Source organism: Homo sapiens, chromosome 10, assembly GCF_000001405.40.
Source record: "Homo sapiens chromosome 10, GRCh38.p14 Primary Assembly".
Lineage (NCBI taxonomy): Eukaryota > Metazoa > Chordata > Mammalia > Primates > Hominidae > Homo > Homo sapiens.
Genome location: NC_000010.11, coordinates 44739594 through 44755005, shown reverse-complemented (window position 1 = coordinate 44755005; position 15412 = coordinate 44739594). Strand labels below are relative to the sequence as shown.

Genomic DNA, 15412 nt, shown 5'->3' with positions numbered 1-15412 from the left:
AATAGTGCTGCAATAAACATACATGTGCATGTGTCTTCATAGCAGAATGATTTATAATTCTTTGGGTATATACCCAGTAATAGGATTGCTGGGTCAAATAGTATTTCTGGTTCTAGATCCTTGAGGAATCGCACACTGTCTTCCACAATGGTTGAACTAATTTACACTCCCACCAACAGTGTAAAAGGGTTCCTATTTCTCCACATCCTCTCCAGCATCTGTTGTTTCCTGACTTTTTAATGATTGCCATAGTAATTGGTGTGAGATTGTATCTCATTGTGGTTTTGATTTGCATATCTCTAATGACCAGTGATGATGAGCTTTTTTTCATATGTTTATTGGCTGCATAAATGTCTTCTTTTGAGAAGTGTCTGTTCATATCCTTTGCCCACTTTTTGATGGGGTTGTTTGTTTTTTTCTTGTAAATTTGGTACATATACACCATGGAATACTATGCAGCCATAAAAAAGAATGAATTCATGTCTTTTGCAGGGACGTAGATGAAGCTGAAAACTATTATTCTCAGCAAACTAACACAGGAACAGAAAAGCAAACACCGCATGTTCTCACTCATAAGTGGGAGTTGAACAATAAGAACACATGGACACAGGGAGGGGAACATCACAGACTGGGACCTGTCAGGGGGTGGGGGGCAAGGGGAGGGAGAGCATTAAGACAGATACCTAATGCATGCAGGGCTTAAAACCTAGATGACGGGTTGATGGGTGCAGCAAACCACAATGGCATATGTATACCTATGTAACAAATCTGCACGTTCTGCACATGAATCCCAGAACTTAATGTATAATAATAATTTTAAAAAAGATGGTAAAAGGTACATGAATCACCATGGACTGCACTGGGCAAGCCATTTTAGTGCTGCAAATACGCAGATACATTCCTCTCACATATGTACAGTGTTTTCTCCTCTACAGAGTGTGTCTTCACTCGAGCTCCACCAGTCCCCTGTGTCCAGGTGAGGCAGGCATTGTTGTTCTGGTTTCATTGACCCAGACCTGCACTTGGCCATATGGCCAGCAAAGGTGGGGCTGGTTCCTTCTCCTCAGCCTATGCTCATTCTGTAGAACACAAATGCCTGTTGTCCTCTGATATTTCACTAAAGTCTTCTCCATCTAAATCTTACTCTTCTTAGTCCTATGATCAAAGCACTTTGCTTCAGAGTTTTTCTTTTCATCATAGAATGTCAAATCTGGATGATGGCTTAAAAGCCAACTCTCCAAACCCCCTAACATACGCTGGAAACTGAGGTTCCTTCCTACACAGGGAGCTACTCAAAGTCACAAAGGTGGTAAATATTGATAGTAGAATCCTGACCGTCTGTGTTTTAAGGAAATGCCCTTTAAAATATACCCCATGGCTTCTCAGACCCATTGACTCATTTCTGTGTCTGTGTGTGTGTGAGCATGTTTTGCATACTATAATTGTAAATGCTATGGCTTCTGACATGTCATACCAATTTATCTGACCTTCCCAGCACCGTAGACCAGGGTGTCCTTACTGTGCATATCCAGTGCATCCAGCCTCCCTGGGAAAGTGGGTAGCCGACATGCTGTAATCTACTCACACACACAGGCAAGCTCTTGTGATAAAATGCACTCTAACCAGAGTCACTGAGCTATGTAGACTTCCACAATCATTAAAAAGGTGCAGCAGGAATTTTCTGTAGGCTCCTGCCAAATTGGCAGAGGACTAAAGGAGCTTGTCTAGCACAGATGCCCCAAACCCTAGATGTTGCTCCTCCAGGGAGCTGGAGACTATATTGGTGAAGTGAGAAATTTACCCCAATCATGTAAAGCAAATAGTGGCATCATCAACCCATCAACAGAAGTCAGCAGGCTCATGAGGAATGAAATATTGTTCAATTCACCAATCTAAACAACCTTGGCCATGGCTGGGCAGATTGTATAAACAACTATTAAAACCTCTCTCCTCCATGAAATATTCACCTATTGTCTGCTGCCAAAACCAATAAACTGCTTTCTTGGCTGAGTCACCCAAATATTTCCTTTGACAGCAGCAGCTTTCAACTCCAACTGCAAGGCCAAGTTGCATGACAAATATACCACGAGGCCTATATTTGGATAAGTATGTTTTCTACCAACCCATTAAAAACATACCCTGCTGTTATGGATGAAATGTCAATAGTCCTTGGAAAGCACAATGAAAAGAACATCGAAAGGAACCATGGATCATGTTTCCATGGCTCTGAAACCTGTAGGTAGATTTTGTTAAAAAAAAACTTCAATAGTGTTACAAAGCCATGAAAAAAGCCTTTCTTGTCCCTCCATGACTGCCCCTTCTGTGTCTACATAGGCATATATCATCTCATCTTTGAATTGTGTGCTGGAGACAGTGGCAAAGCCCACAGGACCTGACTCACAGATGTTTTTGAGGCCTGATGCCCTGTCTTGTAATGAGGGCCCTACATTGAAAATGGTCTGGAATTTATAGACTGCGAATTACCCAAGGTTCAGATGACATTGTTCAGATTCTCCTCAGAAGGGTTCGACACAGGTTGACAGAGTTCTAAAGGCATCATCTGTGGGTATGGCACATCTGCATTTCAGCACAATTAGACCCCCATGTACCTGAACCATGTAGAAAATGTCAAGCACAAATTCTCACAGTTATCATGACTAGGGCTGTCTCATCAGAATACAGAGGTAATGCTGAAATTATAAAGTTTAACATGTTAACCATAACCATTTTCTTTCAACTTCAGACAGGTAAATGAGACCAAGTTGTGCTGCATCATCTTTCTTGCATAAACCATACCTATAATAATGTGCAATTATTTAAAGCAGAACTCTTGCAAAGCAATGTAGGTACAGAATTTTGCTGAAGTTTTTGAAATAAACTTTTTTCAATACTTTGCTGTTGTTTCTCTCATTCCCAATTTGAGAAGAATTTCCTTAAAACTTGGCTGTATAGAGTTCTTCCAAAATATCCAGCTTAATTTCATTATATTCAACAGCTCTCTTTTCATACTGGTATATCAATTTAATAATACTTGATTATCACATAATAACATATAATTGAGGCAAACTCTTCTGGAAGGTGCAGAAATTTGTACACATGCTAATGAATGGTTTTCTAGTCCCAAGTTTTCTGCATTGCCGTATACGTTGTTCAATATATTTGAAGAGAGAATGGGAAACATTAATCAATTCAGCAGGTTGACTCAAGCATGAGTAAGGTAGCTTCCACTATGGTAGTGTTCATGAAAGAAAGAAAGAGAGAGAGAGAGAAAGAAAGAAAGAAAGAAAGAAAGAAAGAAAGAAAGAAAGAAAGAAAGAAAGAAAGAAAAAGAAACTGGGTGGACTGCTTTTCACTCTTTGCTTAAAAAAATTAATAGCATTTATTTTTTAGAGTAGTTTTAGCTTCACAGCAAAGTTGACTGGCAAGTACAGAGAGTTCCCACACACATTACCCCCGGCAACCCTCCAGCCTCCCTCACCATCAGCATTCTCTTCCAGAGGGCTCACTCATGACAATTGGTGAACCAACATCAATGCACCATTGTCACCCAGAGTCCATTAGACTTCACTGGTGTACATTCTATGGGTTTTAACAACACAGAATGTGATTTATCTACCACTATAGTATGAATATACCAGGATAGTTTTATTTCCCTAAATCCCATATGCTCTACCTAGTCATCCTTTTGTCTGCCCAGCCCTGGCAGTACCTGATCTTTTTAGTGCCTCTATGGTTTTGCCTTTTCCAGAATGTCAGATAGTTGGAATCATAGTGTATGAAGCCTTTTCAGATTGTCTACTTTCACTTCATAATATGCCTTTACACTTCTTCCATGTCTTTTGTGGCTGGATAGCTCATTTCTTTTTAGTCCTCAATAATAGCCCATCATATAAACGTACCACAGCATATTTATCTATTCACCTAGGACATCTTGGTTGATTTATACCTTTTTTAAATTAAAATTTTATTTTAAGATAATTGTAAATTCACACTCAGTTGTTAGAAATAACAGAGAGATCCCATGTACCCCCACAGTTTCCCCCAGTGGTGACCACTTGCAAAATTATAGTATAATGTCACAATCAGGTTATTGACATTGATACGACCCACTGATTTTATTCAAATGTCTCCAGTTTTCCTTGTGCTCATTTGTGGATGTACTTAGTTGTATCTAATTTTATTACATTTGTAATCACATGTATCCACTGTCACAGAAACTCCTGGACATCTCTGGCACCACGAAGATCACCTTGTGGCCCTTTTATAACCACACCCACCTGTGTCCCCTTTCCCTCCCCCCATTCATAATACCTGGGAACCACTCATTTGTTTTCCATTTCTATAATGTCATTTCAAAATATTATATACACAGGATCATACAATATGTGAGCTTTTGTTAATAATACCTTTATTGAGATATAATTCACTACAAAATTTAACCATTTAAAGTGTGTGATTCAGAGGTTTTTTGTGTATTCACATGAAACCAGGTTATTGACTTGTTTCTAAAATACTGTAAAATGTGAGACCTATATTTTTATATTACTTTTTTATCTATATGCAATGTGATTCTTGAAATATTTGGATATTAACAAATTACCACTATCTATTAATAATTACAAAATATTTAGATACCCCATATCCATTAGCTGTCACCCCTCCCTCCAGCCCTTGGCAGTGACCAATGAATGGCAGTAATGTGATAACTTGTGGGAGGGAGAAATTAGAAATATTCTGGTACTTGCACTGCATATGAAGCTCTATAGTGTGATCTGAAGGTAAACTTAGATTAGATATAGATGAATATTGGAAAACCTATGGCAATTACTATAAAATAAAAAATAGAATTATAATTCACACACTGAGAGGATATAAAATGGAATTATATAAAATGGCCAATTAAAACCAGAGAAAGCAGAAAAATTGGGGGAAAGAAAGCACAAATACAGTTATTAGAAAACAATTAAAAATTTGTTAATAATCCAAATATTTCAAGAATTGCATTGCATATAGAGAAAAAGTACTATAAAAATATAGGTCTCACATTTCACAGTATTTATAAAGAAGTAGACACATAAAAGAGAATCAAATGAAGAGACCTCTGCTGTGAAGCAAAAACGTGAAGCAGATAAGTCAGCTTAACTCCACCTATTGCCATAAAATATCATGGAAAGGCAACACATTAGCCCATTTACTATTATGACATTTTGGAGGGAACTAAATACGGGCCTAGGAAACAAGGTGAGTAGTAAGACCACACCGACCATCTTGGATGGGAAGGAGAGCAGGCAGGGGCCTCCAGTTTTGTTTAAAGGTGCCTGGACATTCCATTCTGTGGACTCTGCTCAGTCAGTCTAAGTAGTAAATCATGTGCTTACATGTCCATGTTGCCACACTTGTTCCGTTAGCTGCTGTGGAACCCTGCCCTGTGCCACCCTGCCTTGAGGTCTCCTGTGGAGCCACTTCCTTTCAGGCAGCCTCTTTCCTTTCCAGATCCCCGTTCTCTCTTGTGGCTTCCTTGGCCTCACATCCACAGTGAACAGTAGCCCAGCCTCAGCCTCGGTTCCTAGGACCTCAGCCTGGATTAAAGGCTGGCCCCACTTGGACAGTTTTGTGGAATGTCCTCTCAGCGCATTTACAATCAGAAGAGCTGTGGCTCCTGCATTTCCGACTATTGCACTTCTCTCAGATGGTCAAGGACGCGGTCCATGACCATAGCCGGAGGAGTCTGTCCCGAGAGGCATTCCAGTGAATGCTTAGGGGAAGAGCAGTCATTCACTGAGTGGAAACTGTTCATCTTAGCTCTTCCTAAGAGCCTTCAGCTGCTGGGGGCCATGTGTCCTTAAATAGCTGGCCAGAGGTTGCTACTCAGTTTTCACACCTGGATAATATGTTATTTAAAGATACAATACAGAAAAGTGAAGAAATGATTAATACACAAGTCAAGATAGTGCTTATGCCTTGTTGGGAAAAGGGATACCACTGGCACACTGGGGGCTTCTAAGGTACTCATAATGTTCTATTTCTTAACCTAAGTGGTGGCTTCATGGGTTTTGTAGTCGTGTTCTTAAAACATATATCTCCTGAGTGAGTGAACATAATTTAATAAAAAAAAAAAACTATATCTGGGAAGACAACCCAGATACTAGCTACTGGGCAAAACCAAGTTTTTCAGCTACCAAAGTAACCCCACTCTCCATTCTTAAGTAAAACTCACTCACCCTGGGCTCCCACACACCATTTATGTCTATTTCAACATCTCAAGGTATTCAGGGCTACTCTACCTCCTCTCTCACAACTGGCCCTGAGTTCCAGCCTCTGTTCTCCTTTTCTCACATCATGTTCATAGAGGCAGGAGGCAAAGGAATTCTAGGCAGACATGGGTGGGTCCCCAGTGAAACCCCATCTTCAAGCAAAAGTAGCCTGAAACCCATAGCCCAAAGTGAGAACTTCTATTTTTGTTTGCCTGCTCTCTCCTGATTGGTTCTTTCTGAATAATGTCTTTTTACCAGTCAAATGTTGCCTTTTCCAAAACTACCTACAGCCCACCCTGCCCCCATCCTGTGCCTATAAAGACCCCAGACTCAGTAGATAGAGAGGAGAGATGGCCTCACTTTGGGGAAGAGAGATGGCTTTACTTCAGGGAAAAGACAGTCGGACTTCAGGGAGAAGAGACCTGACTTTGGGGAAGACAATCTGCCCTTCCCATCCCCTTTCCAGCTCCCCTCTTTGCTGAAAGCCATTTCCATCATTTAATAAAATTATCTACCTTCACCATCCTTCAGGTGTCTGCATGACCTCATTCTTCTTGGATGCTGGACAAGAGCTCAGGACCCACTGAGGGCGGGTACACAAAAGGCTGTCACATCGGCCCTTTGCTCTCACTGGCAGAGGGAAGCCCCCTGGTGCAATGAGGCAACGGGCCAACTAAGCTGTTAACACACAGCCATCTGCAGATGGAGGAGCTAAGAGAGCACTGCAACACTCTCTCTGGGGCTTTGGGGTCACAGGCACCCCCACCTGGGTGCGGCCGTGGGCCCTGCATGGAGCTTGTTTCCACTGGTGCCTGGAGCAGCTGGCTGGATCTTGCACTCACTCGCTTTACATGCTTCCTCCTGCAAGTGGTTAAGTGCGGTGGGCTGAGTAAATGGGGCACCCTGTTGCGAATCCAATGAAGGGGCTGAGAAAAATCCTGCACCAATAAAATACTTTTATTTCCCCAGTGCCACCACATCCAGGCTGTATGTGAAGTGACTTTACCAAAGGAGGGGCGATAGTAAAGATTACAGCAGACAAAAGCACATTGAGCAATGGAAACTTGAACACTAGACTTCCCTGTTATTAGCAGTCCTGCAGACATTTTTCTCTGAGAAGTTTTGAGTGGTCTCCTAGGCTCTGCTGCCCACTATACTGATACTCTAAATACTGTGCTTGGTCTCCAAGACCTCCTTATCTGTGTCCCTTGTTGGTTGCTTTTGGCTCCAAAGAGCCTTGTTCATTACATGGACCAATCTGTCTAAACTCTCTGCCTGCAACCATATTCAGATGCAGCCATCCAGGGATTTAATGTGCTTCCCCACCGTAGGCAATCACTGCTTGTTTCTTTGTCAAATGCTTACCTCTCAAAACACATCCACTAAAGTGTATTCCTCAGTAACACAATCTGTCCCTGGGAAAAATTCTGCTGTTGGATATTAAAGGATACTTTTCTTCCCATATATATTTATGGTTGAGAAATGCAGTATTTATTTTGAGAATGGAGGGTTTGCGCAGTAGCAGTCTGAAGCTTTCTTAATTGGTTGTACAGCTCTGATTTAAAGAAGAGATCAGTTCATGATTCTTTGTGCACTGGGTGGGTTGTAATCAGAAAGAGAATTGATGCATAAGAAGAGGGGGACCTGGAACCAGACTGGAATTCAGATACTCCCTGGGGCCTCTTTAGCTCAGTGCTTTGTTAATGTTTTAAGGAAGTAAATAGTTAACACCAGAATCATAATTTGTGTATATAATATGTATTTTATTACAGTTTTGGGAACATATTCATGCTTAAATTAACTCTTTGGTAAATAGTAGATGGTTCATCTCAAAACATGCTTCTGTCTCCTTTTTCTTATGTGCTTTGTGGTTCTGTTCCTTAAATTGATATATTCTTGTTTCGTAAAATGCAGAAAAAAGTAAGGGATATAAAAATTTGTGATAATATTATCCAGGAAACTATATTGACTTCATACATTTTGTTGGTGCTATTTTTTATGCTTTTTTTTTTTTTTTCTTTTGAGACAGGGTCTCCTTCTGTCACCCAGGCTGGAATGCAGTGGCATGATCTTGGTTCACTGCAACCCCCGTCTCTCAGGTTCAAGCGATTTTCCTGCCTCAGCCTCCCGAGTAGCTGGGATTACAGGTGTATGACACCACGCCTGGCTAATTTTTGTATTTGTAGTAGAGATGGGGTTTCACTATGTTGGTCAGGCTGGTCTCGAACTACTGACCTCAGGTGATGTGCCTGCCTCCGCCTCCCAAAGTGCTGGGAATCACAGGCATAAGCCACCACACCCAGCCTATTTTTTATGTTAGTTTATGCCTTACTATATTTTTAAACTTAAGTTTTTATTGAGAATATGATCTTTAAGGGCTGTTTAACATTTCATTATGTTTCATAAAGTATTCTATTATAGATTTCATTACTTATTCCACTACTGTTTAAAATTTCTAAACCAAAATAAAATTCTAAGGACTCCCAGCCATCTAAATGGACTTCCTTCTCAGCCAGGGCTCTTTTAAATTTAACCTGCGAGACTGTTTCAGACCATGACGGGAAGTGGGAGTCAGACATGCCTCATTACACCTCCCTGGCATTAACATCAACACAGACTTCAAGTCTGATAAGAAACATGTAACAACCAATTCTCTTTGAAGCCTGCTACCTGGAGGCTTCATCTGCAAATAAGAACTTTGGTTTCTACAACCTCTTATCTTAACCCAAACACTCCTTTCTATTGATCCCAGGGCTTTAGATAAACTCAACCAACTGTCAACCAGAAAATTTTAAAATCTACCCATAAGCTGGAAGCACCCACCCCACAGCCCCCTTGATCTTTGAGTTTTCCTGCCTTTCTGGATCAAACCAATGTATTTCTTAAATATATTTGTATTTGATTGAAGTCTCATGTCTCTCTAAAGTGTATAAAACCAAGCTGCACCCCAACCACCTTGGGCACATGTTCTCAGGACCTCCTGAGAACTGTGTCACAGGCCTTGGTCACTCATCTGTCTCAGAATAAATCTCTTCTCACAGAGTTTGACTCTTTTCATTGACAATTTTTTTTTTTTAGACGGAGTCTCGCTCCGTCATCCAGGCTGGAGTGCAGTGGCATGATCTCGGCTCACTGCAAGCTCCGCCTCCCGGGTTCACGCCATTCTCCTGCCTCAGCCTCCCAAGTAGCTGGGACTACGGGCGCCCGCCACCACACCTAAGTTTTTGTATTTTTAGTGGAGACGGGGTTTCACTGTGTTAGCCAGGATGGTCTCGATCTCCTGACCTCGTGATCCGCCCGCCTCGGCCTCCCAAAGTGCTGGGATTACAGGCGTGAGCCACCGCGCCTAGCCTTGTTGACAAATTTAAATGGATAATTTCTGTTTGTTTTTGTTTGTTTTGTTTTGTTTTTTGAGACAGAGTCTCACTTGCAGTTGCCCAGGCTGGAGTGCAGTGGTTGGATCTCTGCTCAATGCAACCTCCACCTCCCAGGTTCAAGCGATTCGCCTGTCTCAGCCTCCCGAGTAGCTGGGATTACAGGCACCTGCCACCACGCCCGACTAATTTTTGTATTTTTAGTAGAAACTTAGTTTCACCATGTTGGCCAGTGCTGGGATTACAGGTGTGAGCCCCCACGCCTCTTTTTTTTTGGAGACGGAGTCTCGCTTTGTCGCCCAGGGTGGAGTGCAATGGCGTGATCTCTGCTCACTGCCACTTCCGCCTCCTGGGTTCAAGCCATTCTCCTGCCTCAGCCTCTGGAATAGCTAGGACTACAGGTGCACCCGCTGCTGCCCCCGGCTATTTTTTTTTGTATTATTTGGGATTTCACCATGTTGCCCAGGCTGGTCTCCAACTCCTGAGCTCAGGCAATCCGCCCGCCTCAGCCTCCCAAAGTGTTAGGGTTACAGGCATGTGTCACTGCGCCCGGCCGATACTTTTACACTATAATCAATTATATGATAAAAATATCCTTACAAATACGTATCTATGTCTGTAATAATAATCTTTCTTAAGACAAATTACTAAAAACAAAGCTACTGTATTAAAAAGTGAATGGTTTTAAAACTCATAATATAGATGATAATTTTTATTGTGAAAAAGTTATATTAATTAACACTTCCAGGCTAACTTTTAATGTATAATTCTGGGTAATTTGATTTGAGAAAATAGAATCAGGTTGCAGTTTTAATTTCCACTGCTTGGTTTACTAAGTTTTCCTGTGTGTGTGATAATAACTATTATTCATGTTCCTTACTTACTTGTTTAATGAGATTTCTCATTTCATTAAATTGTCTAATCCCTTTCTATGTTTAGAGTAACACTTTATGAGAATGGAACAAGAAACATAATGGACGCCTACCTGAGGGTGGAGGGCGGAAGGAGGGTGAGGATCGAAAAACTACCTATTGGGAACTGTGCTCATTACCAGCATGACCAAATAATCTGTACACCAAACCCACGTGACACATAATTTACCCATATGACAAACTGCGCAGGTACCCCCGAACCTAAAATAAAAGTTGGAAAAAAAGAATAACACTTTATGTATCATTTTGTTTTGCTATATCATTTGCATTTCAATCTTGCAGATTTTCAGTTTTTATTGGTCAAATCCCATCTATATTTCTCATGTTGTAATTTTTTATTTCATATTTAGAAAGTTTTTTCCATTCTGAAATAAGATCAGTTCAATATATTCATCTATTATTTTAATACTTTAATTTTAATACTTAAGCCAGTGGTATTAGACAGCAACTTTTATTGAAGCAGCAGTGCACAGCAGCAGCAGAGGCACTGCTCCTTGTGGAGCAGGGCTACCCCATGGGCAGTGTGCCCAGAGCAGCAGCTCAGAGGCAGTCCTTCAGTCATATTTATACCCACTTTTGTTACATACATAAGGGGTGGACTATGCAGAAATTTCTAGAAAATGGTGGTAACTTCTGGGTTTTCTGGTTTTTGCCATGGAAAGGGGTGGTAACTTCTGAATGTTGCTGTGGCAATGGTAAACTGACACAGCACACTGGTGGGTGTGTCTTACAGAAAGCTGCATCCAACCCCTCCCTGTCTTAGCTAGTCCTCAATTTGGTTCAGTGTCTGAGCCCCACCTCCGGAATTGAGCCCCATCTCCTACCTCAATAACTTTAATCCAGTCAATCTGACTGTAAGGCTTTCTGTCTTTACCACTATGTGATACACCAATGACCCACTCTATTTGTTATTACAATCTAGTACTTTAACTCCAAATTATTGTCATTAATTACTATTTGCATATTGGGTAGTCACTTTTACGTTCATGATTTTGAAAGTATGATTACTACTAATCAGGTTTATAAAGCTGATTTTATTCAAATTTAAGTTATTTAAATTTCAGTTATTTAAATTTTTTTTGGTTTAACTGACTTCAAATTGGCTTCGTTTCATTATTTTGACTCTTAACTCATCTTTCAATGAATTTTAGAAAGAATCCATGAGTTGTATGCTTTGTTAATTATATATATTTGAAAATACCTTTTGGTCTGTAATATATGAGTAAACAGCTTGACTGTGTATTGCATTCCTGAGTCAAATTATTTTCTCCTCTAAGCTCAGTACTTAAAACTTTATTGTTTACTTCAATTTGCTGTTGTAGAGTAGTCATCTGAGGATTCTGTGGATTTTATTATTACTATTGTTTCTTTTATATTAACTTATTTTAATTTCTGGATATAAGTGGGATTTTAAATTTAATCTTATATGCAAAATTTTGCTTTTTATCAATTCAATTGTGTCTAAGAGATAGTTCTATTTTTCAGCAAAAATAACAGTGATTTTGTTTCTGATTTTATTTTTGTATTACAATTATATTCTTTTATTCTTTATTGTTCATTTGTTTTGTTCCTGGAGAATTCTTATCATTCTTATATTAGACCTGTTTTCTATGCTCCATTTTAGTCATCAGTTCATTGTTGTTCTTCATTCTTTATTTTATTTTTGCATTTTAAGAAAATCTTCTAAAGTTTCTCAACTTATTTACTTAAAATAGTCATTTTCTTAAGTGAAAATTCTCTTTTGCTCCTTTAAGTGTTACAAGTTGTTAGAGATTCTGTTTTCCAACAAGTATTTCATTACCTTCTTGAAGAGGGGCAGGACTGCTCTAATTTATGAGGTAAGTTATCGGTGGACTACAGATCCTTCTTCTCGGTCTAACCTCAACCTCCTTGTATTTAAAGTTAGCTCCTCCCAGATTCTGGCCACAAGCTGTCAGTTTCAGTGTTTGATGGTAGTGTTAGGAGTTTCCACTTTCCTTCCCCACCTGCGTCCTGACAGGTATATGAAGCTGAAAACCCTGCAACTCATGTGGTATTGTAAATCACAGCAACTGCCACGTTGCTCTTTTTAAAGTGAAATTCACACAACATAAAATTAATCATTTTAAAGTAAATATCTCACTGACATTTAATACATTTGCATGTTGTGAAACCACCACCTCTATCTAGTTCCAAAACATTTTCATCACTCCAAAATGAAACCCCAGACCCATGAGGCAGTTACTCCATATTCCCTCCTCTTCCCAGCTGTTGGAAACCACCAACCTGCTTTGTGTCAGTGAGGAATTACCTAGGCTGGATATGTCATCTAATATAAATGGAATCATAAAAGATGTGACCTTTTTGTCTGGCCTCTTTTGTTTAGCTTTTGAAGTTGATCCATGTCATAGCATATATCAGAACTTCATTCCTTTTTATAGCAGAATAATACTCATATTTATATCTATGTATCATATTACAGGATTTTAAAAAATCCATTCATTTGTTGATGGACATTTGGGATGTTTTCATTGTTTCTACTTGTGACTATCGTGTATAGTGCTAGTATGAACATTCACGTACAATTATTTGTTTGAGTACATGTTTTCAATTCTTTTTGAGCACATACCCAAAAGTGGAATTGCTGGGTCTTATAGTAATTCCAGGTTTAATACTTAGAGGTATTGCCAAGTGCTTTTCATAGTAACTGAATGTTTTACATTCTCACCACCAGTGTACAAGAGTTCCATTTTCTTCACATCCTCATCAATATTTTTCTTCACTTTTAAAATGATAGCCATTCTAGTGGGTATGAAATGGTGTCATGTTATACTTTCAGTATGCATTTCCCTGATGACTAATGATGGTGAACATCTTTGTGTTACTTTTTGGCCACTTGTTTTTCTTCTTTGAAGATATGTCTACTCAAGTCCTTTAGCCACTTTTTAACCGAGTCTTTTGTTCTTTTGTTGTTTAGTTGGGGATTTTTTATGCATCCATGTTCATAAGATGAACATTACATTATGTTCTATGCAATTTTCTTCTTTCTTGTAATGTCTGCTTGGTTTTCATATTAGCACAATGTTGACCTCATAAAATGAATTAGAAAGTGTTCCCTCTGCTGCCATATTGTGGAAGAGATTTCAGAGAGCTGGTATAATTTATTCCCTAAATGCTTGCTAGAATTTAACCCATCTGTGTCTTGTGCTTTCCTTTTTGGAAGATTATTAATTATTGCTTCAATTGCTTTAATGTATATACACTTATTCAGAGTGTCTATTTCTTTTTTATATGAGTTTTGCAGATTGTGCCTTTCAGGGAATTGGTCCATTTCATCTAAGTTATCAAACTTTGAGACATAGAGTTTTTCATAGTATTCTTTTATTAGCTTTTTAATATCTAGAGGAATCTGTAGTGATGGTCCCTCTTTCATTTCAGATATTAGAAATTTGTGTCTTTTCTCTTCTTTTCTTAGTTGGCCTGGAAAGATATTTATCAAATTTATTGATCTTTTCAAATAACCAACCTTTGCTTTCATTGATTTTCTTTGTTAATTTCATATTCTCAATTTCATTGATTTCTGCTTTAAATTTACTTTTCTTATGCTTACTTTGGATTTTATTTTCTTTAAGTTTTCTAAAGTGAAATCTTAGATTTATGAATTGAAATCTTTTCTAATGCATGCATTCAATGTTATACATTTCCATCTAAGCACTGCTTTTGCTGTGTTTCACACATTTTGATAAGTTCTATTTTCATTTTCATTTAGTTCAAAATATTTTAAAATTTCTCCTGAGATTTTTTCTTTGATTAAACTGTTATTTAGAAGTATGTTGATTAATCTCCAAGTATTTTGAGATTTTCCAGCTATCTCTCTAATATTTAGTTCTAAGTATTCTTCATATATTCTGGATACTAAACTCTTATCAGAAGTATGATTTGCAAATATCTTCTTTCCATTCTATAGATTGTCTTTTCACTTTTTTGACAATGTCATTAAATCTTTTCAATTTTGACAGAGTCTGATTTATTTTTTCTTCTGTTGTTTGTGCTTTTGGTGTCCTATCAAGGAATTTATTGTCAAATCTAATGTGATAAACATTTAACCTTGTTGTTTCTTCTAAGAGTTTTATGGTTCTAGCTCTTACATTTAGGTCCTTAATGCATTTGGAATTAATTTTTGTGTATAATGTGAGGTAAAGGTTCAACTTCATTCTTTTTCATGTAAATATCCAGTTGTCCTAGCACCACTAGTTGAAAAGACTGTTTTTCTCTCCCCTCAATGGTCTTGGTACTGTTGTTGAAAATCAATTGACCACAGATGTATAAATTTATTTTTGAACTCTTAAATCTATTGGTCTACATGTATAGCCTTATGCCTTTACCACACTGCTTAGATTACTGTAGTTTTGTGGTAAGTTTTATAGTAAAAACATGTGAGTTGTTCAACTTTGATCTTCTTTTTCAATGTTTTGACTACTAGGGGCTTCTTATAATTTTATATGAATTTGAGGATTGAATTTTCCATTTCTACCCCGCCAAAAAAGGCCATTGAAATTTTAACGGGAATTGCACTGAATCTGTAGATCACTTTGGGTAGTGTTGCTATCTTAAAGATACTATCTTCCAGTTCATGAACGTGGTGGGTGGTCTTTCCATTTAAGTCTTCTTTAAGTTCTTTCAGTAATGTTTTGTAGATTTCAGGTTATAAGTTTCAGGGCTCTTTTGTTAAATTTATTCATAAAAATTTCATTATTTTTGATATATAACAAATGGTATTGTTTTCTTAATTTGTTTTTTGGATAGTCCATTGCTGGTGTGGACAGAAATCAACACAACTGATTTTTGTGTGTGTTGATCTTGCAACCTGCAA

At 38.6% G+C, this 15412-nt stretch overlaps 2 annotated features.

The window, feature by feature from the left end:
- Positions 1439-1639: a silencer, noted in NCBI's record as "peak938 fragment used in MPRA reporter construct". NCBI's record gives its function as "represses an SCP1 promoter by STARR-seq MPRAs in K562 erythroleukemia cells {active_cell/tissue: K562}" and the evidence as "EXISTENCE:reporter gene assay evidence [ECO:0000049][PMID:32103011]".
- Positions 1599-1799: a silencer, noted in NCBI's record as "peak937 fragment used in MPRA reporter construct". NCBI's record gives its function as "represses an SCP1 promoter by STARR-seq MPRAs in K562 erythroleukemia cells {active_cell/tissue: K562}" and the evidence as "EXISTENCE:reporter gene assay evidence [ECO:0000049][PMID:32103011]".